At 35.7% G+C, this 25,526-nt stretch overlaps 1 annotated feature.

The window, feature by feature from the left end:
* Nucleotides 14,712–14,881: an enhancer, noted in NCBI's record as "experimental_76088 CRE fragment used in MPRA reporter constructs". NCBI's record gives its function as "activates a minimal promoter by MPRAs in K562 erythroleukemia cells, with activity observed for both the introgressed and non-introgressed 4:168547119 variant alleles {active_cell/tissue: K562}" and the evidence as "EXISTENCE:reporter gene assay evidence [ECO:0000049][PMID:34662402]".

Here is a 25,526-nt window from a genome sequence, read left to right as displayed (position 1 = left end):
TTGTCTTCATGATACTGAATGATAGATCCCTATAATTTTGAGGTATTTTTGAACCTAGTAAGAAGCCACACACAAAAATTAATTCACATCTCAATATAAACTTGGTATTAAAAATCCAGTTGTAAAATTAATTGCTTTTTCAGGATTTTGAAGAAATCAAAGTGTTCCTAAAAGCAACTTAAATAAAATTTGCGCCTGTTTCATTTATTCCTTATTTTTATTAGTAAAAATACATTTTTGTGAGAATATTTTATTCACATTTACCATATATTTTGTTTTTATTTCAGAGATTTGTTTTTAAGCATCAGGCATTAGTAAGTGATAAGTAAAGTATTAGACTGAAGTATATAATAATAGATGCTTTGAGGAAATAAAATTTTTAATTTAAGGTTTTCTTACCATTTTCAAAAATTAAGTTACCAGTAATACCAAAATATACATCCTATGTTTTATATAAATATATATATATATATATAGAGAGAGAGAGAGAGAGAGAGAGAGAGAGCACCAGTCATAAAAGAATATTTTGTTTTAATGTCTCTTAAAAGCCAAAAATTTGGCTCAGCATGGTGGCTCACGCCTGTAATCCCAGCACTTTTGGAGGCCGAGGCAGGCGGATCACCTGAGGTCGGGAGTTCGAAACCAGCCTGACCAACGTGGAGAAATCCTGTCTCTACTAAAAATACAAAATTAGCCAGGTGTGGTGGTGCATGCCTGTAATCCCAGCTACTTGGGAGGCTGAGTCAGGAGAATTGCTTTAACCTGGGAGGCATAAGTTATGGTGAGCCAAGATTGCACCATTGCACTCCAGCCTGGGCAACAAGAGTAAAACTCCATCTCAAAAAAAAAAAAAAAAAAAGCCAAAAATGATATCATATGCCCAGAGATCAAATCACAGGACTATAGAATACTTTCCTCTGCCCACACCTCACCACTTCATTACTAAAGGCCTTGGTATGGTTTGACTGTGTCCCCACCCAAATCTCAACTTGAATTGTGTCTCCCAGAATTGCCATGTGTTGCAGGAGGGACCCAGGGAGAGGTAATTGAATCATGGGGCCTGGTCTTCCCCATGCTATTCTCGTGATAGTGAATAAGTCTCAGAAGAGCTGGTGGGTTTAAAAGGGGTTTCCGCTTTTGCTTCTCTCTCATTTTCTCTTGCCATAGACAGGTAAGAAGTGTCTTTTGCTTCCCGCCATGAATCTGAGGCCTTCCAGCCATGTGGAACTGTAAGTCCAATTAAACCTCTTCTTATTCCCATTCCTGGGTATGTCTTTATCAGCAGCATGAAAACAAACTATACAGGCCTATTTTCTGCACCTTATTTTACCAGTACGTTATGTCCACTTGTCATGCAAAAATTACAAAGAGACAAAAAACATAATGTGAGGAGACTGAACAAGCATTAGAATACTCAGATAAAGCAGGCATGTTCAATTTAATGACCAGGAATTTAAATCAACTATGAATAGTGTGCTGAGGGATTTATTGGATAAAATGATAACATACAAAAAAAATATAAACAAAGACGTGGAAATTCTAAGAAAGAATATAAAAGAAATGCTAGATATCAAAAACAGTATAAAAATAAACATTGCCTTTGATGGGCTCATTAGTAGAGAAGACATGCTTAAGAAAGAATATCTGACTTCAGGGTATGACGAGAAACTTCAAAAACTAAAAGGCACAGTAAAAAAACACTGCATAAATAAAACCAGATTATCTATGAACGTGGTACAACTACAAAAGCTATAACCTATGCAGAATGGGAGAAATGTTTGAAACAAGGATGACTGAGAATTTTCTCAAATTAATGCCAAACTCCAAACCACAAGCCCAGGAGCTCAGAGAATATAAAGCAGGATAAATGACAAAAACAAAAATGAAAAAAACTATACCTATGTATATCATATTAAAACTTCAGAAAGTTAATGACAAATAAAAAATATGGAAAGAAGACAGAGAAAAGAAACAACTTGTGTATAGCAGAGTTAAGGTAAGATTATATTTGACCCATCAGAAACCATGCCAGCAAGAAGAGAGTGGAGTTAAATAATTGAATCTTTAAGATAGAGAAACCACCAAACTAAAATTCTGTACCCAGCAAAATTATCCTTCAAAAGCAAAGGAAAAATAAAGACTTTGTTGGACAAAATTTTTTTTAAAAAGAGAGTTTGTTGGCAGTAGACTTGCTTTAGAAAAAATGTTGAAAGACGTTCTTTGATAGAGCTGGAAGGCATTGTGTTACATGAAATAAGCCATGCAGAGAAAGGCAAATAAAAAAGTTAAATTCATAGAAGTAGAGAGTAGAATGGTGGTTCCCAGAGACTGGAGAAGGAGGAGGAAATGAAAAGATATTTTCCAGGGGTAAAAAGTTTTAGTTAGACAGGAGAAATTGGTTTTTGAGAACTATTGCACAGTAATGTTGACTATGGTTTATAATAATGTATTATATATTTCAAAATAGCTGAGTAAATTTCAAATAATTCACCACAAAAAAAAAAAATGGGTAAGAGAGATGATGGATATGTTAATTAGCTGATTTACTCATTCCACACTGTTTATATCAAAACATCACATTGTAACCCTTACATATTTCTGATTATCATTTGTCAATTGAAAATATTATTAATAAAAAATTATAACAAATTAAGCAGAAAAAAGCTTTTTCAGAGAGAAGGAAAATGATATAGGTCAAAAACGTGGGTCTGCATAAAGAAAGGAGCAACAGAGAAGGAAAATGTGAAGGTAAAATAAAAACATAATTTCCTTAGTCTTATTTGATCTAATAAATAATTGTTAAAACAGTAATAATAATGTATTGAATTATGTAGGCTTAAATACATACATACACATGCATATACATAAATGTTTAATATATATAATATGTAATATATATATATAAATAACTTAGTGAAATATATGACAATAATGATACAAGGGATGAGGGGGGAGTAATTAGAATTTTTTTTCTGATATAAAGTTCTTTTACTACCCATGAAGCCATAGAGCATTATTTGAAAGTAGACTTGGGTTAGTTGCAAATATATACTGTAAACTCTAGGGATACAGTGAAAAAGGAAGTGTAATTGTTATGCTTAGAAAGGAGAAAAATATAATCATATAAAATTCTCAATTAAAATCACAAAAGGTAGAGATACTGTGCAAAAAATGTAAACAAAGAGCAGTGACACCAAATAGAAAACTAACAAATGTGGTAGATGATAATCAAATTATATCAATAATCACTTTAAACATTAATGACCTGAATATACCACTTAGAGACTGTCTGAATGGATCAAAACAGCAAGACTCAACTATATGTTGAGTAGAAGCAACTCACTTTAAATATAAAGCTACCTATACATTGAAAGGCAAAGGGATGGAGAGAGATATATTCATATGTATATGTGCTTGAAAAGAGAGTGCCAGAATACATGAGGCAAAACAGAACTGCACGATAAATAGAAAAGTTCACTATTACAGTTGGAGACTTTAACACTCCTCTATCAGACATGCACAGAGCCAGCAAACAGAAAATCAGTGAGAACATCGTTGAGCTCATCATTCAGCTGGATATAACTGACAACTACTTTATCCAACAATAGCAGATTATAATTTTTTTTTCAAGCTCGCACATAACATTCACCAAAATAGAGGACATTCTGGGCCATGAAACACACTTTAACAAATGTAAAAGTATAAAAATCATACAATATCTGCTCTTACACCAGAGTGGAATTAAGTTAAAAATTAATAACTGAAAGAGAGCTGGAAAATCCCCCTAAATACTTGAAGATTAAACAATAGACTTCTAAATAACACGTGGGTTAAAGAAGAAATTTCAAGAACAAATTTTAAATATTTTGAAATAATGAAAATGAAAATACAACATCAAAATTTGTGGGATGCAACAAAAGAATATACTACAAAAGAAAAAAGATCTAAAAATCAACAATCTGAGCTTGCACATTAGAAAACTTGAGAGAGAAAGTAAATTCAAAGTCAGCAAAAGAAGATAAATAAGAAAAATACAGCATAAATAAGTGAAAATGAAACAAGGAAATAAACAGAGAAAATCAATAACCAAAAGCTGGATCTTTGAAAAGGTGAATAAACTCATTTAGCCTCTAGCTAGGCTAACCAAGAAAAAAAGAAAGGGGACACAAATTACTAATATAATAAATAAAAGAAAGGAAATCATTGCAATACCATGGACTTTAAAACAACAATGAAAGACTCTTATGAACAATATTATGCTTACAAATTTGATAACTTTAATCAAATGTACCAATTCCTTGAAATAAACTCTGCCAAAACTCACAGGAGAAGTAGACAATCTGAACAGGCCTTTATCTATTAAAGAAATTGAATAAAAAATCAACAACCTTCCAAAAAAGAAAGCACCAAGCCCAGGTGGGCTTACTGATGAATTCTACCAAATATTTAAGGAATAAATTCTACCGATTCTCTACAATCTCTTTCAGAAGATACAGGCACTGATAACTTTTTCTAAGTCATTCTCTGAGGTCATCATTACTTTCGTACCAAAAGTAGACAAGTATATTATAAGAAAAAAAGAACTATGCCATAACATCTCTCATAAATATAGTTGCAGAAATTCTCAACAAAATTTTAGTAAGTTGAATCCAACAATGTATAAATGTCATTATGGAATTGCAAATTAAAACAACAATGAGTTACTACTACAAGCCTATTAGAATGGCCAAAATTTAAAACACTGATAACTCCAAATTCTAATGAGGATGTGGAGCAATAGAAACTCTTATTTATTGCCTGTGGGATTGCAAAATGGTACAACCACTTTATAAGACCCTTTGGCAATTACTTACGAAATTAAACATACTCTTACAATATGATCCAGAAATTATATTCTTAGATATTTACCCAAATTAATAATTGAAAACTATACCCACACACACAAAAAAAGCTGCACATAGATATTTGTAGTAGCATTCATTATAATTGTTAATACTTAAGGGAAACCAAGTTATCCTTTGGTAGGTGAATAGATAAATAAATTAGTACACTCAGACAATTGAATATTATTTAATGCTAAAAAGAAATGAGCTATCAAGGCATGAAAAGACTTGGAGGAAACTGTAATTCATATTACTAAGTGAAAGAAGTCATTCTGCAAAAGCTACATACTGTTTGCTTCCCAATACGCGACATACAGGAAAAGGCAAAACAATGGAGACTGTGCAAATATCAGTGGTTGCCAGGAGTCAGTGGGGAAAGAAGGATGAATAGGCAGCATACGGATTATATTTTGGCCATTGAAAATATCTTGTATGTTACCACCATGATGCATACATGTCATTATACATTTTCAAAACCCGTATAATGTGCAACATCAAAAGTGAACCCTAATGAAAATTTTGATCTTTGGGTGATGATGTGTCAATGAATGTTCATTGACTGTAACAGATATACCACTGTGCATGAGGCGTTGATAGTGGAGGAGGTTGCATGTGTGGGGAGAGGGGATACCCAGAAACTCTTAGTACTCTCCACTCAATGTTGTTGTAACACTAGAGTTGCTCTTAAAAAATAAAGTTTACTAATTAAAAAATTAACTGCCATCTTTTAAAAAGAAAGCAAAGTGCAGTTACCTGCATTAAGTAATATCCTTTCCCATATATAAGAGCCATAATAATTTCTTCAAAGGGAATTAATAAGTTACAAACACTATTTTTGGGGGGCGCGGGACAGAGTCTTTCTCTGTCACCCAGGCTGGAGTGCAGTGGCATGATCTAGGCTCACTGCAACCTCTGGCTCCTGGGTTCAAGCGATGCTCCTGCCTCTGCCTCCCAAGTAGCTGGGATTACAGGCGCCCACCACCACGCTTGGCTAAAATTTGTATTTTTAGTAGACACAGGGTTTCACCATGTTGGCCAGGCTGGTCTCGAACTCCTGACCTCAGGTGATCTGCCTGCTTCAGCCTCCCAAAGTGCTGGCATTACATGCGTGAGCCACCATGCCTGGCCCTACAAACACTATTGAGACATCACTATTTCCAGTCAAAGAGTGAAAGTTCCCATTGCCAGAACTCACATCTTAAACATTTCCCTGAGCATCAGGAGACCTACAAACAGTAGGATTTGTGTTTGGCATTTCTTCCAGTATTTGTAGTGACACAAACACCTAAAGTCCCAGCATGTCCCTATGATTAATGTAAAGTTCTTCACTTCCCGGATCTAAATATATTTTGTGCCCTTAATATAGATTTCAGAGTTACTTTAAAAGTTACTTACAAAGTTATTTGACTTCGTAAATAGTAGGCTACAACCAGTGCTTTACTATGCTTATGAATCAGCTGAGGATTTTACAGACTCTGGTGTTGAGCCTGAGATTCAGAATTTCCAACAAGCTGGTGCCACCAATAGGTGGACTGTATTTCTATAGTAAGTAGCTTAACCAAGTTTTTAAAAGTGTGGTCTAAGAATAGCCTACATTAGAAAAGCCTGTAGTAGCCATTAAAATTTACATTCCAGAGTCTAAGACCTATTGAGCTATAAAAGAATCTGCATTTTAAACAAGTGCCCAAGTGATTGTCATGTACATATATATTTGAAACCCCAAACATGTCCAAATAACTTGAGTCTGCACTGATCTATAGTCTCCCCAAACTCCTATGGATTCAGTTTTTCACTTTTTTTCCAAGTTATATATTAAACTGCCACTTTGAAATAACTTTGCCAAAAATCAGCTATTATAAAATCACTTAAACTTTAAAAGACTTATAAAGTCAGAGTGTGGGTTTAAACTATGTTTATATATTATTTGATTTATGGTGCTATTTAATTTTTCTGTCACTTCATGAATTTTAAATGTAAAGAGAGGGAATATCTTTGCTATTACTGCAGGCAATATTTTGATTTGCAACCCCGGTATCTAAACCTATGAGAACTATTGTGTATCTTTACTGTGTCTTGTTTCTTATTTAGGAAATTATTTGAGAAATAAAAAGCAAACTTTGTAATAATAATATCCCACTTATTAGGAAGTATGCCTTCAGGCAAACACTACCTTTCAAACACAGCCAAAAAACCCAAAAGTCAGCCGAGGCAGGATCTCAGAAACAGAAATAGCTATCCAAAGTCCCCCAAACACACACACACACACACACACACACACTCACACACACCTGTATTTGTTTTATCACTAGGGCTTAGTTTTCTTTATCACGCAAATGCATATTTCCTTTTAGTTTATTCTAGAAGTTACATATCAGTTTAGGGAGGGCAAAATAGAAAACCTCAGGTACCATTAAAGACAAGACTAAAAGCCAAATTAAAGTAGATGTAAAATTTAACAGCTCAAAGTAAAAAAGTAAACATTTTAAGGTCTCAGGAATTTGTCAAAATTGCATTTTGTTTTTGCAGTTTAAGAATAAAGGAATAGACATGTTTAGATCTATTTTTTTTTAAATTATTATTTATTTTACTTTAAGTTTGCGGTACATGTGTAGGATGTGCAGGTTTGCTACATAGGTAAATGTGTGCCATGGTGGTTTGCTGCACCTATCAATACATCACCTAGGTATCAAGCCCAGCATGAATTAATTATTTTTTTCTGATCGTATCCCTCCCCCTCCACACCCACCCCTGACAAGCCCCAGTGTATGTTGTTCCCCTCCCTGCATCCCTGTGTTCTCATTGTTCACCTCCCACTTATAAGTGAGAACATGAGGTGTTCGGTTTTCTGTTCCTATGTTAGTTTGCTGAGGATAATGGCTTCCAGGTCTATCCATGTTCCTGCAAAGACATTGTCTCATTCTTTTTCATGACTGCATAATATTCTATGGAGTATATGTACCACATTTTCTTTATCCAGTCTATCATTTATGGACATTTGGGCTTATTCCATGTGACTGCTATTGTGAATAGTGCTGTGATGAACATATGCATGCCTGTGTCTTTACAATATAATTTCTATTCCTTTAGGTATGTACTTAGTAATGGGATTCCTGGGTCAAGTGGTATTTCTGTTTCTAGGTCTTTGAGGAATCGCCACACTGTCTTCCACATGGTTGAACTAATTTACATCCTCACCAACATTCCTATTTCTCCACAGCCTTACCAGCATCTGATGTTTCTTAACTTTTTAGTAATCACCATCTGACTGTCAGGAGATGGTATCTCATTGCGGTTTTGATTTGCATTTCTCTAATGATCAGTGATTTTGAGCTTTTTTTCATATGTTCTTTGGCCAGAAAAAAAGTCTTCTTTTGAGAAGTGTCTGTTCAAGTCCTTTGCCCACTTTTTAATGAGGTTGTTTTTTTCTTATAAATTTGTTGAAGTTCCTTGTAAATTCTTGATATTAGACCTTTGTCAGATGGACAGATTGCAAACATTTTCTCCCATTCTGTACGTTGTCTCTTCACTCTGTTGATAGTGTCTTCTGCTGTGCAGAAGCTCTTTGGTTTAATTAGATCCCATTTGTCAATTTTTGCTTCTATTGCAATTGCGTTTGCTGTTTTCATCATAAAATCTTTGCCCGTGCCTATGTCCTGAGAAGGATTGCCTGTATTTTCTTCTAGGGTTTTTATAAATTGCGGTTTTACACTTAAGTTTTTAATCTCGAGTTCATTTTTGCAGAAGATTTAAGGAAGTTTCAATTTTCTGCATACGGCTAGCCAGTCCTCCCAGCACCATTTATTGAACAGGAAATCCTTTCCCCATTGCTTATTTTTGTCAGGTTTGTCGAATATCAGATGGTTGTAAATGTGCAGTCTTATTTCTGCCTGATGGAGCTGAAAAACACAAGAACTAACAAACAATATTTTTTATTATTATACTTTAAGTTCTGGGGTACATGTGCAGAACGTGCAGGTTTGTTACATATGTATACATGTGCCATGTTGGTTTGCTGCATCCATCAACTCATCATTTACATTAGGTATTTCTCCTAATGCTATCCCTCCCCGAGCCTCCCACCCCCCCAACAGGCCCCAGTATGTGATGTTCCCCTCCCTGTGTCCACGTGTTCTCATTGTTCAACTCTCACTTATGAGTGAGAACATGTGGTGTTTGGTTTTTCTCTTCTTGTGTTACTTTGCTGAGAACGATGGTTTCCAGTTTCATCCACGTCCCTGCAAAGGACATGAACTCATCCTTTTTTATGGCTGCACAGTATTCCATGGTGTATATGTGCCACATTTTCTTTATCCAGTCTATCATTGATGGGCATTTGTGTTGGTTCCAAGTCTTTGCTATTGTGAACAGTGCTGCAATTAACATACATGTGCATGTTTCTTTATAGTAGAATGATTTATAAACCTTTGGGTGTATACCCAGTAATGGGATTGCTGGGTCAAATGGTATTTCTAGTTCTAGATCCTTAAGGAATCCCTGCACTCTCTTCCACAATGGTTGAAGTAATTTACACTCCCACAAACAGCGTAAAAGCGTTCCTATTTCTCCACATCCTCTCCAGCATCTGTTGATTCCTGACTTTTTAATGATCATCATTCTAACTGGCGTGAGATGGTATCTCATTGTGGTTTTGACTTCCATTTCTCTAATGACCAGTGATGATGAGCACTTTTTCATAAGTTTGTTGGCTGCATAAATGTCTTCTTTTGAGAAGTGCCTGTTCATATCCTTTACCCATTTTTTGATGGGGTTGTTTGTTTTTTTCTTGAAAATTTGTTTAAGCCCTTTGTAGATTCTGGATATTAGCCCTTTGTCAGATGGATAGATTGCAAACATTTTCTCCCATTCTGTAGGTTGCCTTTTCACTCTGCTGATAGTTTCTTTTGCTGTGAAGAAGCTCTTTAGTTTAATTAGATCCCATTTGTCAATTTTGGCTGTTGTTGCCATTGCTTTTCCTGTTTTAGGCATGAAGTCTTTGCCCATGCCTATGTCCTGAATGGTATTGCCTAGGTTTTCTTCTAGGGTTTTTATGGTTTTAGGTCTTACATTTAAGTCTTTAATCCATCTTGAGTTAATTTTTGTATAATGTGTAAGGAAGTGATCCAGTTTCAGCTTTCTATATATGACTAGCCAGTATTCCCAGCATCATTTATTAAATAGGGAATCCTTTCCCCATTGTTTGTTTTTGTCAGGTTTGTCATAGATCAGATGGTTGTAAATGTGTGGTATTATTTCTGAGGGCTCTGTTCTGTTCCATTGGTCCATATATCTGTTTTGGTACCCGTACCGTGCTGTTTTGGTTACTGTAGCCTTGTAGTGTAGTTTGAAGTCAGGTAGCATGATGCCTCCAACTTTGTTCTTCTTGCTTAGAATTGTCTTGGCTATGAGGGCTCTTTTTTGGTTCCATATGAAATTTAAAGTAGTTTTTTCTAATTCTGTGAAGAAAGTCATTGGTAGCTGGATGGGGATAGCATTGAATCTATAAATTACTTTAGGCAGCATGGCCATTTTCACTACATTGATTCTTCTCATCCATGAGCATGGAATGTTCTTCCATTTGTTTGTGTCTTCCTTTATTTCATTGAGCAGTGGTTTGTAGTTCTCCTTGAAGAGGTCCTTCACATCCCTTGTAAATTGGATTCCTAGGTATTTCATTCTCTTTGTAGCAATTGTGAATGGGAGTTCACTCATGATTTGGCTCTCTATTTGTCTGTTATTGGTGTATAGGGGTACTTGTGATTTTTGCACATTGATTTTGTATCCTGAGACTTTGCTGAAGTTGCTTATCAGCTTAAGGAGATTTGGGGCTGAGACAATGGGGTTTTCTAAATATACAATCACTATTTTTAATGTCACATTGCCTGATGATTTATGCTTCACTTATCTGAAAATTTTATTCTAATACGATCCCATTCTATTCTGATGACATCAAATAATATATCTTTCTGTGTACTATTTGAAAACAATTCCAGTTTATGAACAGCTTTAAATGTGCTATTTCCCTAATTAATACACGTTATGAAAAAAATAACTTCTCAAATTTCATCAAATTAGAGTTTGTTTCACATATCCCCTCTTTAATTAAAGGGGCTGTATTCACATCAGCCCTCTTTAATACTGGAGATAGAGAATGAAAGGTAAGTGAAGTTCAGTGTTTTTGTGATCACAGAAACTGCATTTTGCTAAATAGAGAGGACTGAGTATAACTTGAAACATCACACACCTAAAGCAGGATCTAGTTAATCAAGCATGACAGTTAGGAACAGAACAAAATCACAACCCTCAGCAGGGTGAGACAGACCATTAAAATGATAATATACTCAATTGTTGTCTTATTTCACTCCTGATATTCCCTGGCATTTGCTCATGTCAGTCATTTGGCATAGTTTGTCAGCTGAATATCAAAACAATCATGACAAGCAAATAAATATGAAAGTCTGAGAAAATATACCTTGACAGTATGTGCTGAGCATGAGTGGCAGGCAGCCTGCCGATACTAATGATTAAATTCTACTTTGTGACTAGAAACGCTAAGAACTGTTCCTCTTAACTCTGTAGTTAGATATATTATGATTTTTTTTTTCATATTTAACCCCCCTGCACACAGACACACAGAATGTAAGCAATTAGGAAATATTTCATATTACATTGGTTAACTCAGCAAATCTACTTTCTAAGTCAATTTTATGGACAGACATGCCTGGTTGAGTGTTCAGAATGAATTAGGCAGGGTCTAAAATATCAGCCCTCATAATATCTCCAGTGAGCAGGAACCTTCTGATCAGCAGCCTTCATTGCTCATTTATCATTTAAATAAGTTTCATCAGTATTGGGGAAAGGATAATTCCATTCTGTAAAGAGCAAACTCTACTTGGAAAGCAAGTTACTGGTTTATTCATATTTTACCAGTTGAAGCCATGTCAAAGATCAATACAATCATGAGAATAGACATTACCTTTCAAACAAATTGGCATGCATTATTTTTCGGAAAAGCATTCATCAGTTCAAACAGACTATATTTAGACATGTGGCAAGAATGGCAAGAATTCTTAGAAGGTAAAAAGCTCCCTGTTGTCCCTTTATCTATTTCTCCCTCTCTCTCTCTCTTCTTCTTTTTTATTTTTTTTGGTTTAGAGACAGGGTCTCACTACATTGCCCAGGCTAGACTCCAACTTCTGGGCTCAAGGGATCCTCTCATCTCACTTCCCAGTACTATAGGGATGGGCCACTGTGCCCTGCCGTCCCTATTGTCTTTTAAGCCCTCAATAATGAAAGACTAATTTATATAATTTACAAAAGTAAGTCCTTGAAGTGTTGATTGCCCCCACACATTTAGTGCCTAACACGTACACAATGTATAAATCAATGTAGGTCTTTCTTCATGGGCCAATAAGAGCAACCACTAAATGGAGAAAAAAATCTTTTTTTTTTTTTTTGTCAGTGCTGGAGAATTAAATCTATGAATCCAAGTGTGCCCAGTAGGATCCTGAATTTGGTGTATCATCTGAACTCCACAGGGTTTTGTGTGGAGGTGCTGAGAATCACATTCACCCACCTTGCTTTTTCTGATTGTCAACATACTGCACGTATGCCCAATTTAAGCAGAAAATCAATCAAGATATTACACAGCAGTAACATACTGCAGGTTTCAAAGAAGCTCTAAATTCTCTTAGAAATCTGGAAAAGCAAACTGGAGCAGCTATACATGAAAATTGTGTGCACTACTTACTACCAAAAAGACCTGTTAAAATTCAGGCTTATGTTACTGCATTGTCCTTTCTAAATTTTTCTGGGGAGGGTGGTATGAAGAAATTAAACTTTTCATTCTGCGAATAAATATGCAGAAATCATTTCCTAGAATTTATATAAACATTATGACCAACCAAAGAGTCAAAGGATTAGACCTACTTAATATATGAAAGGTGTTTTTCTTAATAAGATGCAGTAGAGTTCAATATTTCTCTCTATTTTTAATGATTACAAAGTCTTTATTACTCCCTTGAAAATAGATTATAGAGTGGTTAATATGTTACTTTCAGTTTATTTTTATTCTTCTTAGCTAAGGAAATAGTATTTAAAGAAATAATTATCTATGAGAAAAAGTGTTTACATTTAATATGACTAAATCTAAATAAATGTTCCAAAAATAAGTAGAATTTATTGTTTCTGAAAACCATTTTTTTCAGTTTGTAACTAATATATTTTCTACTATATTGTGCATTGGGATTTTGATATTTTACACCTCATCTTCCACTGCTGGGCACAGTGGCTCACACCTGTAATCCCAGCACTTTGTGGGGCTGAGGTGGGCGGATCACTTGAGACCAGGAGTTCGAGACCAGCCTGGCAAACAAACAAACAAATTATATTTATATATGTAATATAAACAAATATATATATATATAAACTTATATATAATTCCCATCTTCCATTTATTTTGTGTTTAAACTAGTTTATAATTGTTAAAATATATTACTTTTTAATATTCTCTTTATTGCATGAGGAATAAACTTTAACAAAGGAAACAATTTACAATTTTTGGTAGGACTGAAAAAACATTATTTAGGTTTTACTGGTAGAAAAACTGTCTCAGATTTTGTTTTGTGTTTTCTAAAAGATGTAAAGATATATCTTTTTATATATATCTTATAAAGATGTATCTTTTATATATAAGATATAAAGATATTCCACTAAGTTAAATTATATGTTTTATAATTTTTATGATGGAACATCAAAAGGAATATGAATACTTAGCTAATATCTGTCATAAAAATAAAAATAGCTCTTGTGTATTTTAGAAATCACAAAGTACTGCTTGGAAAAAAATATGTAAGTTTGTGACAAAGCACTTAGTTCTGTCAGTGATATATGAAGACACAGCTATCAGGCACTGGCATTTGGATCTGATAATATAAAGAAGGTTTAACGAACCCATATCATCTAATACATTGAATTTCCATTGGGACCATCTTCAAAAGAAAATATTTTTATAGTTTCCTAGATTATATTTGAGTCAGAGAAATAATTGACAAGAGAGACATGACTAAAATAAATATTTTAGAAGTTGTTCTAAGTTGTATTGAAAATAAAAAGAAAGGTTAAAATTCAATATCTTTAAAAGGGGATTTTGAAAAGAAAACACTCTATGAGATAGATAAATATATTTAGAGCAGAAGCCGCGACTGCTAAAGCCTCAAGCATGGAACCAGCCTGGTGTATTCACGACGCGGCAAATGGGCCAGTACAAGTAGAACAGAGTGAGTGGAATGTGAGTTGTAAAAGATGAGGTAGGACATTTAGGCCAAGATAGGAACATGTAGGGCATTGTAGAACAGGTAAGAAATTTCCATTTTATTTTCAAAGCAATGAGAAACTATTGAGATATCTGAAACAGGGACTGACATATCTAACTTACATTTTAAAGTGTTTAAATTCGCTGCTACAGAGAGAATGCATCATAGAAAGACAAGAACAAACCAGGGAGGCAAGTTGGGAAGATCATGCCATCGTCCGGGTGAAAGAGATGTATAACATAAACTTTGCATTTTAAATATTTTTAAGTACACATTGCAGTGACATCAATTAAATTCACAATGTTGTACAATCATCACCACCATCTACAGATAATTGGACAAGGGTTTTATCAGTGGTAATGGTGGAAACCTCTAGGTTCCAAAACACATTTTGGAGGTGATACCAGAGGATTTGCTGATGGATTGGATATGGGATGTGAGGGGGAAGAAAGTTTCCAAGATGAGTTCTGAATTAATGGCCTAAGCCACTGGGTAGCTAATGGTGCCATAAATGGAAATAAAGGAAACTAAGGGACAGTAATTGAACAGTGGCGGATGAATCATCAAGTCTGCTTTGAATTTGTTACGTTTTGGGATCAAGGTGGAGTTGGTGAGTGCACAGTTGAATATAAAACTGGAGCCCAGAGAAGAGGTTAGAACTGAACATAAAGGTTTGGGATTCAGTGGCAGGCACATAATCTGAGGCATAAAAATATCACTGATGAAAAGAGTTAGAGTTGGGGAACTTTGACAATAAGAGTTTGTGAAAGGAATAAACAGCCAGCAATGAGATTAAGAAGAAGCATCTAATAAAGCACCAAGAAGAGTATGGTATTGCAGATGCATAAAGAGAAAAATATTTCATAGAGCAAAATGTGTGGTTTACTGTAGCATCTGACACAGAGCAGTGAAGGAAGAAGAAAGAGAACTAACCATTGAATTTAGCAAAAGGTAGATGTTGTTGACCTTAAAGAAAATTGTTTATATAGAATGAGGAGGGGTAAGTTTGATAGGAGTGAAGTATGAAGCTAATTGGAGTTGAGAAAAAAATAGATTTGAAGTGAAAAGAATTCTATTTAGGAAATGTGTCACAGGGGAAAGAAGAATGTTGAGTGATACATAAGGTGACTATGGAAGAAATTTTTAGATGACCAAGGTAGCTAATTAGTAGCATTATGCATGGAGTTAGACAGAATTTGACAATGCAAAATAATTAAAAAAAATTAAAAATGAGAAGGTAGGGCAGAAAAAAATGGAAAAGTTATAGAAAACGTGCCTTTGTTTAGGTGAGAAGAAATGAGGTACAGAGAATTGGTGAAGTTATTGGCTGGGACAGGAGCAAAAACTTTTCTTCTATTGAAATATAAGGAAAGGCAAATCATGAGTTATGGACATATTGCTGGAATTACTGTTCAATGGGTACTGAGTTTCAGTTTTCTGAAATGCAAAGGATTCTGGAGTTGGATGGTGGTGAGGCTTTATCAATAATGTAAAAATACTAACATTACTAAAATATACACTTAAAAATGGGAAAGATGGCAAATGTGTTTATGTGCATTTTACCACAATTAAAATATTTTTTAAATATTTTAGATTTGTGTCAGTAGCAAATTTTGAAAGTTCTGGTCTCGTGGGTTTTGTATTCTCTGTGAATTAAAAATAAATAATCTGTTATGAATGATGGGAGAAAGTATTAGGGTCTAAGATTGAGAAACAGAGAAGTAACTATCTTTCCATGAATTTTTACCTGTCTGCATATCTAGTAATATAACTGTGAATATTTTCTCTACAAAGCCTGACTATACGTTCTTCTACTGCACTAAATCATATTTTAGTTATGATCTGTCATTAGTATGTGAGAAATAAATTAGGAGAAAAAAACAGCAATATAATGTTATTTCTAGCTCTATACTTGGGTTTATTAAGAACATTTGCATGCTGTTTCAACAACTTCTTCAAATCAAATTAACCAACTGTTATCAAGCTTTACGCTCTTTCCTGATGACCATCAATCCCAGGCTCTAACAATTACCCAGAGCTACAATTCTTTATTAGTAAACCTCTCCTGGTAATTCCAAAAATCAAGAGCCTGAAACTTTTATCAGGTCCTAGCTACAGGAAGATCTAGTTTTGTCATCAACTACTGTGTGCTAACTATACCCTGAATAGTCGTCTCAATGCCTACCTAGATTTACAGTTAGCAAAGTACATGGTCTGTGCATTTAAAATTGCTAAAATAAAAAAATGAGGATTTTGTCCTAAAACACTTAGGATTTAAACTTCTTAAATTGTACACAGATAGATAACTTGAAATGAGACTGTTTTGTACTTTTGTGAATCAATTCTACTTAAAATGTAGGCAGTAGCTTTTCCAATAGCAGTTACAAGGTAATTTGTGCTTTCAGGACACAGGTGTCTAAGTGGCCAGTGGTCTAAACGAGGTTTCCACATACCAGGTATTGCTCATCAGTGTGCAATTTGTATCCTCATAAAAGTGTACATCAGTAGTGTTCAGGGATACTCATTGGATTGGGTGTCACACTATTTATTTGGCTCATAATGTGTGTCAAGGGACCCTACAGTGAAAGTCATTTGTAGAATTCCATCTGCTCTTCTACAGGCAGGTAGCCAGGTCCCATTGTTGAACAAATTATATCTGATCACTCCCTGATGCTATGTATAATTGTTTTCTCTTCTTTGATGTGAATGTTAGGAAATAAACTATGAAAAATAATATATGTTCTTAAAAGAAAATTAGGTGAAAGTTTGTAGTTAACAGTTGATCATAGAAATAGTGGCTATAATAACAATTAAACTAGGCCAGATTTTTTTCATCTACATCTAGATATGTATCAGGTACATAATTTTTAAACTTGCATTTTTACATTCATGTTGTAAAAATGCAAGTTAAAAATTCAGTTAGCAGTTAGTTATTTTCAAATATAATTTATCTACTACTTTCTGATGTCTCAAAGTTTAGATAAGAATGCAGAATTCTCTTGGTGGTGTTGCTGTAAAGTACACTCAGATGGAATTTACTCTCCACTCAGTTCCAAAATAAAGACTTCAAATATTTGGTACCAAAAGTCCATGCCATATGAATCACACTGTTTTCATTAACTTCATGGATACTAGATATTTGACAGTAGGTGTTTTTTTGGAATTTGAACTGGCAACTGATGACGACTTCTGTTTACTTGTAAGCACTCTATTTCTCCTGCAGTAAATTTTCACTTGAATTTTGATGCTGGGTTTCATGTTCCGGTAGTAACATCTTTTTCTGTCCCCTCTACAGCTCACGGTGATGTGAGGCATTTTTTTGGTCATCACTATAGGTATTCTAAAGGAAACTTTTATCATCTCTTTGTCTTACTAGTGCCTTGGAAATTCATTCAAATAAACTCCCTATTCTTACCTGCCCATTGACAGGTAAGGGAATGACAGGGTCCGTAACAGCTGCAAATGAGATTTCAGGTGCGGCCCCCCTCCTCCAGTGGCTTTCAGGCCTGCTTCCTGGGACCTTTGCTGAGCGAAATCTATAGACCAGGCTCTGGCTATGGTAAGCTCATGAATGCCTGAATTTTCTTCTCTGCTTGCTGAAGTGATACAATTTCAGTCTGATTGGACTTCTTTCAGTGTCCTTAGCTCCAGTCTGCCCACCAGAGGGCAGCCTAGAGCGGCTCCCTGGTCAGCGTCTTAGCATCCTAGTCCCGGTCAGGGCCTTTGAAAGATACCGTACACATCTGGGAAGGAAACTGAGGTACTCTTCTCTCCATAGAAACATCCTTAACAAAATTCCTCTGGCAAATTCAGTGTGACTCCACAAACATAGAACAGAATTTAAGAATTAACAGGACTACAGTGCTGTGGAATGAGTCACGGAGGCAAGTGAGATAGTGAGATACACCCAGCCAAAAGAAAAACTGCATAGTGCTCTGCATAAACACCTGAGTGGTTAACAAACTGGTAAATGTGATATTGGAAAAGAAGGGAACCCTCACATTCTGGAAATGGCAAAATACCTACTTCAGATACGTAGCTTGCTTGTCAATCATTGTTAGTTAGCATGCAGTATTGCAAAAACCACCGTAAAAATGCACAAACGAGGTAATATTAGAGATTCGATATTTGCAGAAAGTATAAAGGATGAGTAGAATTATCTGGGAAGTTGGCATATATATATGTGTGTGTGCTTATATATATATCTATAATATGTATGTTTTAATATTTGAAATTAGAAAAAATGGCTGGGCACCATGGCTCATGCCTGTAATCCAAGCACTTTGGGAAGCCGAGGCAGGTGGATCACTTGAGCTCAGGAGTTTGAGACAAGCCTGGCCAACATGGTGAAATCCAGTCTCTACTAAAAATACAAAAGTTAGCCGAGGGGTGAGGGAGGTAGTGGTGCACGCCTGCAATCCCAGCTACTCCGATAGCTGAGGCATGAAAATCACTTGAACCTGGGATTCATCAGGCCACTGTACTCCAGCCTGGGTGACAAAGTGAGACTCTGTCTCCAAGAAAAATAAAATAAAAAATTAGAAAAAGTTTTGGAGAAACAATTAAAAGGCAAATCTTTTATGTTAATATTGTTTTAATTGACAAAGAATACTTATATATGTTTATGGTGTACAATGTGATGTTTAGATGTTTATCCATATATAAGTGGAGTGAGTAAATCAATCAATACATATCTATCACCTCACTAATTTTTTTGTGATGATACATTCAAAATTTACTCAAAAAAAAGGCAAATATGCTAATTCATTAACATCATGAGAAAGGACACAATTTAGCATTTTGCATAGATTACTTAAATCTCCCAAATATAAAGTTCATAAATTGCTGAGAGTGTATATTATGTTTCAGGAATTATTACACAGTTTACGTAGTATCTTAGTGATACAGTTTGTCTGTGTCCCCACCCAAATCTCATCTTGAATTCCCACGTGTTGTGGGAGGGACCTGGTGGGAGGTAACTGAATCATGGGGGCAGGTGTTTTCCATGCTGTTCTCATAATAGTGAATAAGTCTCACAAGATCTAATAGTTATATAAGCGGGGGGTTCCGTGCACAAGCTCTCTTCTCTTGTCTGCCACCCTGTGAGATGAGCCTTTCACCTTATGCCATGATTGCGAGGCCTCCCCAGCCAAGTGGAACTATAACTCCGTTAAACCTCTTTCCTGTATAAATTGCCCAGTCTAGGGTATGTCTTTATCAGTAGTGTGAAAATGAACTAATACACTTAATGTCTTAACTCAATCTTTACTATATTCTGGTGAAACTGAAGCTCAGAGATGATAAGAAATTGGTCCAATTCCAGCTAATAACTGAAGAATTTCAAATTCAGATCAAATTTTAAATGTGTTCACTTTCAAAATACATTTTCTATCCTTTCATTTTTTTTCTTTTGCCTTCTATGGGGTTCTACATTTTTTTAGAAATAGCATATAATTTAACAGAATTTTACTGCTGTTGATGCTCACTCACCTTCAAATCTATTAACTTTCCTTTTTTTCATTTTCCAAAATTTAACCTGAGATTTAGAAGAAAAAAAAGATAAATGTCATCCAAAACATCAGAGTGAGGAAAAACAGAGATTCATATGGCAGAAAGTGAAGCTAAAATAGTCAGACCTAATAGCTGTGGGATGACATAAGTCAAAACATGGCCTTTGAAAGACTAGTTGAAAAGAAGGACACATAATGGAATCTTATGAATTTGGCTACAACTCAAGACATTTGTTTGCAAGTGTCTGATATCTAATTAAACTAGCCTAAGCTAAATGGTAGATCTGTTGGTGGAAATCTGGGATAGCAAACAAAACAGAGAGTACAGCTAAGTAACTAAGTCTTAGGAAGACAGAAACCAAAATAATCACATGCCTGTGCCCCCCCCCCCATATTTGTTTATTTCATGGTTTAATTCTGAACATTTATTATGACTTTATCACCATCTTTCTCTAAGAGACTGTATTAGCTCACAACCTCTTCTTCCACCAGCCCATGTTTGAAAAATAATGTGGATGTACCTAGAGAATTGCATTGGCTCAATGTCAGCTAGATCAGACAGCGTGGCAGGGTCCCCAGCATTGTAACCCACACAGAGTCTTATGCCTGGGGAAAGGGTGGTGCATCATGCTGTGGTAGCTTCCCCGAGAACAAAGGGAATCACAGCCTGTGCTCTCCAGAGACTGAGGGTTGCCTGCTTGTGAAGGCTGACAGCAACTCTGCCTTCACCAGCAGCAGGACCCTGTGCCCCTGCATTCACCCCGAGAACAGTCTCTCCCTTCACACTGCTGTGGCTACTCCTGCTGAGGTCCAAAGTACTTGCTCCCTGGGACCTAGAAGTCATCTACCTACCTGGGCCTGCTCCCTCTGACAGCAATCCTACCTTTCCAAACAGCAGATCCACTGCACAATTGCAGGCACCCTGAGGTCAGGCTCTCATACACATTACTAGGTATTGCCTTATCCTACCTACTACAGCCTATGCTTATTTGCACCACTAGGCAGCCTAAGCGTAGGTCCACCTGGCTTGGCACAAACCCCCCACCCAGGCTCAAGAATGCCACCCAGGAGAGTAGGGAACAGCCTACCCAGCGTAGCACCACTAGCATCTCCCAGCGATCTGAAGATGTGACCACTCAGCTTGCTGCCAACACCACTGCTGGCACCCAATAGAATGTGCCACCTGAGTACCTGGAGACTGGCTCACCAAGCCATTCATAGCTACAGCTATCATTCTCCCAGAGACCTGAAGATGGGACCCCCAGGTTGCTGCCAACACCACTGCTGGCAACCAATAGCATATGCCACCTGAGCACCTGGGAACTGGCTCACCAAGCCCATCATAGCCACAGCTATCATTAGCGAGTGCTACCTGTGACCTAGAAGGTTGTTCAACCACAGCTACTACCATCGCCCATGCCCAGGGGCCCAAGAACCTGCCCACCTATCCAACTGACCATGGTCACTCTGGCCATCTGGGATCCTAAGAATTAACCTCCCTGAATCCACTAATACAGGAGCCTGCATACACTACCTGGGGTCCCAAAGAGAGGTACATTTGGCCCACCACTGTCACCACTGGGGCTTGAGAAATGGCCCACCTGGCATCCCTAAGTCCAGTAAAGCCTTACCAGAGACTCCACTAACAACCATATCCAAGCCTATGAGGAAATCATGACACCACTGACACTGTTCACAACCAAAAATAAATCATATGGGAGACTTTAACACCTTGCAGCATTAGACATATCATCTAGAAAGAATATCAACAAAGAAACATTTGATTTAAACTGGATTTAGGCCAAATGGATCCAACAGACATATACAGAACATTTCATCCAATAACTGCAGAATATACCTTCTTCTCATCTGCAGATGAAATATCCTCCAGGATAGACCATACCTTAGGCTACAAAACAAATCTCAACAAATTTTTAAAAAATCAAAATCATATCAAGTATTTTCTTGAACAGCAATGGAATAAAACTAGAAATCAATACTGAGAAGAACTTTGCAAACTGTAAAAATACATGGAAATTAAACAATATGTTCCTGAGTGAACATTGAATCAATAAAGAAATTAAAACAGAAATGAAATTTTTTTAAACAAATGAAAATCAAAACACAGCACACTGAAACTTACAGGATACAGTGAAAGCAGTGTTAAGAGGAAAGTTTATAGGAATAAACAACCCCATCAAAAAAGCAAAGAGATTTCAAATAAAAAATCTGACAATGTATCTCAAGAACAAGAAATGCAAAAACAAAACAAACCAAAACCAAAACTAGTAGAAGGAAAGAAATAATAAAATCAGAGCAGAACTAAATGATATAAAGTGCATTAGTCTGTTCTCACATTGATAATAAAGACATACCCTAAACTGGGTAATTTATAAAGTAAAAAGATTTAATGGACTCACAGTTCTACACAGCTGGGGAGACCTCATAATCATGAAGGAAAGCAAAGGAGAAGCAGAGTCACATCATATAGGGCGGCAGGCAAGTGAGCTTGTGCAGGGGAACTCCCATTTATAAAACCATCAGACCTCGTGAGACTTATTCACTACCACGAGAATAAGTGGTATGGGGGAAACTACCCCCATGATTCAATTATGTCCACCTGACCCCACCCTTGATACATGGGGATTATTACAATTCAAGGTGAGATTTGGGTGGGGACACAGCAAAATCATATCACAGAGACTACAAAAACAAAAAAAAATCAATAAAATGAAATTTGTTTTTTTTTTTTGAAAAGATAGGCAAAATTGATAGGCCACTAGCTAGACTAACTAACAAGAAAAGAGAGAAGACCCAAAGAAGCAAACTTAGAATTGACCAAGGAGACATTACAACAACAGAAACACAAAAGATTATGAGACTATTTTGAACAACTATGCACTAGCAAATTGCAAAATCTAAAGGAAATGGATGAATTACTGGACACATACAAACTACTAAGATTGAATCAGGAAGAAATACAAAACCTGAGCAGAACAATAATGAATAATGAGATTGAAATAGTAATTAAAAGTCTCCTAACAAAGAAAAGCCCAGGTTCGATGACTTCACTCCTAATTCTACCAAGTGCAAAAAAACAACTAATACCAATTCACCTCAAACTATTTCAGTAAATTAAAGAGGAGCAATTCACCATACTCATTCTATGAGGCCAGCATTACCATGATGCCAAGACCAGACAAGGTGTAACAACAAAGAAAACTACAGGTCACTATCCCTGATGAACATAGACACAAAAATTCTCAACAAAATAGTAGCAAACAAAATCCAACATCAGACCAAAAACAGCCATCATCATACTTGATATTTATACCAGGTATGCAAGGCTGATTCAACATATGTAAATTAATAAATGTGGTATATCACATAAACAGAATGAAGGACAAAACCCACATGGTCATCTTAGTAGACACAGAAAAAGCATTTGATGAAATTCAGCATCCTTTCATAATAAAAACTCTCAACAAACTAGACATAAAAGGAAACTAATAAAGGCCATATATGACAACCCACAGCTAACCTTATACAGAGTGAGGAAAAGTTGAAAGCCTTTCCTTTAAGAATTGGAGTACAACAAGGGTGCACACATCTACTGCTCCTAGTCAACAAAGTACTGGAAATTCTAGCCAGAGCAATCAGGCAAGAAAAAGAAATAAAAGGAATCCAAACTGGAAAAGAGGAAGTCAAATTACCCCCTCTCTAGAGACAACATGATCTTCTACCTAGGAAAACCTAAAGACTTCACCAAAATAGCTCAATCTGATGAATAAATATAGTAAAGTTGCAGGATACAAGACCTATATATAAAAATCAGTATCATTTCTACACACCATTAATGAACTACCTGAGAAAGAAATCAAGAAGATAATCAGCCAGCTAAGAATAAATCAAGAAGACATTTACAATAGCTACAAAAAATGAGAAATAAATTGAATCAAGGTGATAAAAGACCTCTACAAAAGCAAAACTACATAATGCTGATGAAAAAATTTGAAGAACACACAAACAAATGGAAAGGCATCTCATGCTTACGGATTGGAAAAATCAATATTGTTAAAAGAAAAATACTATCCAAAGCAATCTAAAAATTTGATGCAATGCCTTTCTAAACACCAACATCTTTTTCCCAGAAATTGAAAAAAACAATTTTAGTATTTCTCTAGAACCAAAAATTATTCATCCAACAAGGGACTAAATCTAGACTATACAAGGAACTTGAACAACTCAACAATGAAAAAAAAAACAAATAATTCCACAAAAAGTGAGCGAAGGATATAAATAGACATTTCTCAAAAGAATATATATAAATTGTCAAGAAGTATATACAAAATGCTCAAAAGTATTAATCATCAAGAAAATGCAGACCAAAACCACAATTATGTATCATCTTACTCCACTTAGAATGTCTGTTTTCTAATGGCTGATACTAAAAAGACAAAAAATAAAGGATGCTGGAGAGGATACAGAGAAAAAGGAACTTGTATACACTATTGATAGAAATGTAAACTGGCACAGCCACTATGGAAAACAGGATGGAGATTTTTTTAAAGAACCAAAAATAGAACAATATGATCCAGCAATCTCACTACTGGTTATTTATCCAAAGGAAAGGAAATCAGTATATCAAAGGGTTACTTGCAATTTTATGTTTATTACAGCACTATTCACAATAGCAAATATATAAAATGAACCTAAGTGCCCTGCAATAGATAAATGAATAAGGAAAATGTGGTATATATACACAATGGAATGCTATTTAGCCATAATAAAACAAGCAAATTCTGTCATTTGCAGCAGCATGTATAGAACTGGAGGTTATTGTGTTGAGTGAAATCAACCAGAAACAGAAAGAAAAATATTTAATATTCTTATTATATGTAAGAGTGAAGAAAGTTCATCTCATGAATATAGAGGGTGGAGTAAAAGATACCAGAGACAGCCGGGTGCGGTGGCTTACGCCTGTAATCCAGCACTGTGGGAGGCTGAGGCGGGTGGATCACAAGGTCTGGAGATCGAGACCATCCTAGCTAACACAGTGAAACCCGGTCTCTACTAAAAATCCAAAAAAAAAATAAAAAAATACCAGAGACTAGGAAGAATGTGGGTTGGGAGGGAATTAAGAGATTAAGAGAGGTGGGAGGGAATTAAGAGATGTTGGATAATGGGTAGAAACATAAAGTTAGATAGAAAAGGTACATTTTAATGTTAAATAGCAGAGTAGGGAGACTATAGTAAACAAGAAAGTATTGCATATTTCAAAGACTTGAAATGTGTTTAACACACATAAATGATAAATACTCAAGGTGATGGATACCCTAAATGCCCTGACTTGAACCATTACACATTCTATGCCTATAACAAAAAAATCACATGTATCACATACATATGTATAAATATTATATATCAATAAAAAAATAGTGTGGCTGGACTTCAAGTGGCCTGACTTGGTTTTATGGCCACCATAGAGATTAGTAATTGCAACTTTGGAAAGAATTTCTAGTATTATTTCCCGGGAAGACCAAATCTGAAACAAACATTTTAGGGGGCTTGCAAACCCAGAAAAATAATAGTGAAGGAAAAGGCAGCATGGGAAGAAAGAAAGAAAGGCAAATGACCAAACTGGCAAAAGCATCATCATAAAATACAGCTGATTTCTCATCAAGCAGCATTTCTCAAACAAGACTTTATGAAAACATAGGACCTCAGAATAATTACTAGAAGTGGAAGAGAATTTATTCACCAGCTCCTTTCCATCTCCTATCTCTCATGAGTCAACGTTTACCCCATTGGATATTAACTAT

Source organism: Homo sapiens, chromosome 4, assembly GCF_000001405.40.
Source record: "Homo sapiens chromosome 4, GRCh38.p14 Primary Assembly".
In the NCBI taxonomy this organism is placed as follows: Eukaryota; Metazoa; Chordata; class Mammalia; order Primates; family Hominidae; genus Homo; species Homo sapiens.
The sequence above is the reverse complement of the archived record's forward strand: the minus strand, read 5'-3'. Positions and strand labels throughout refer to the sequence as shown.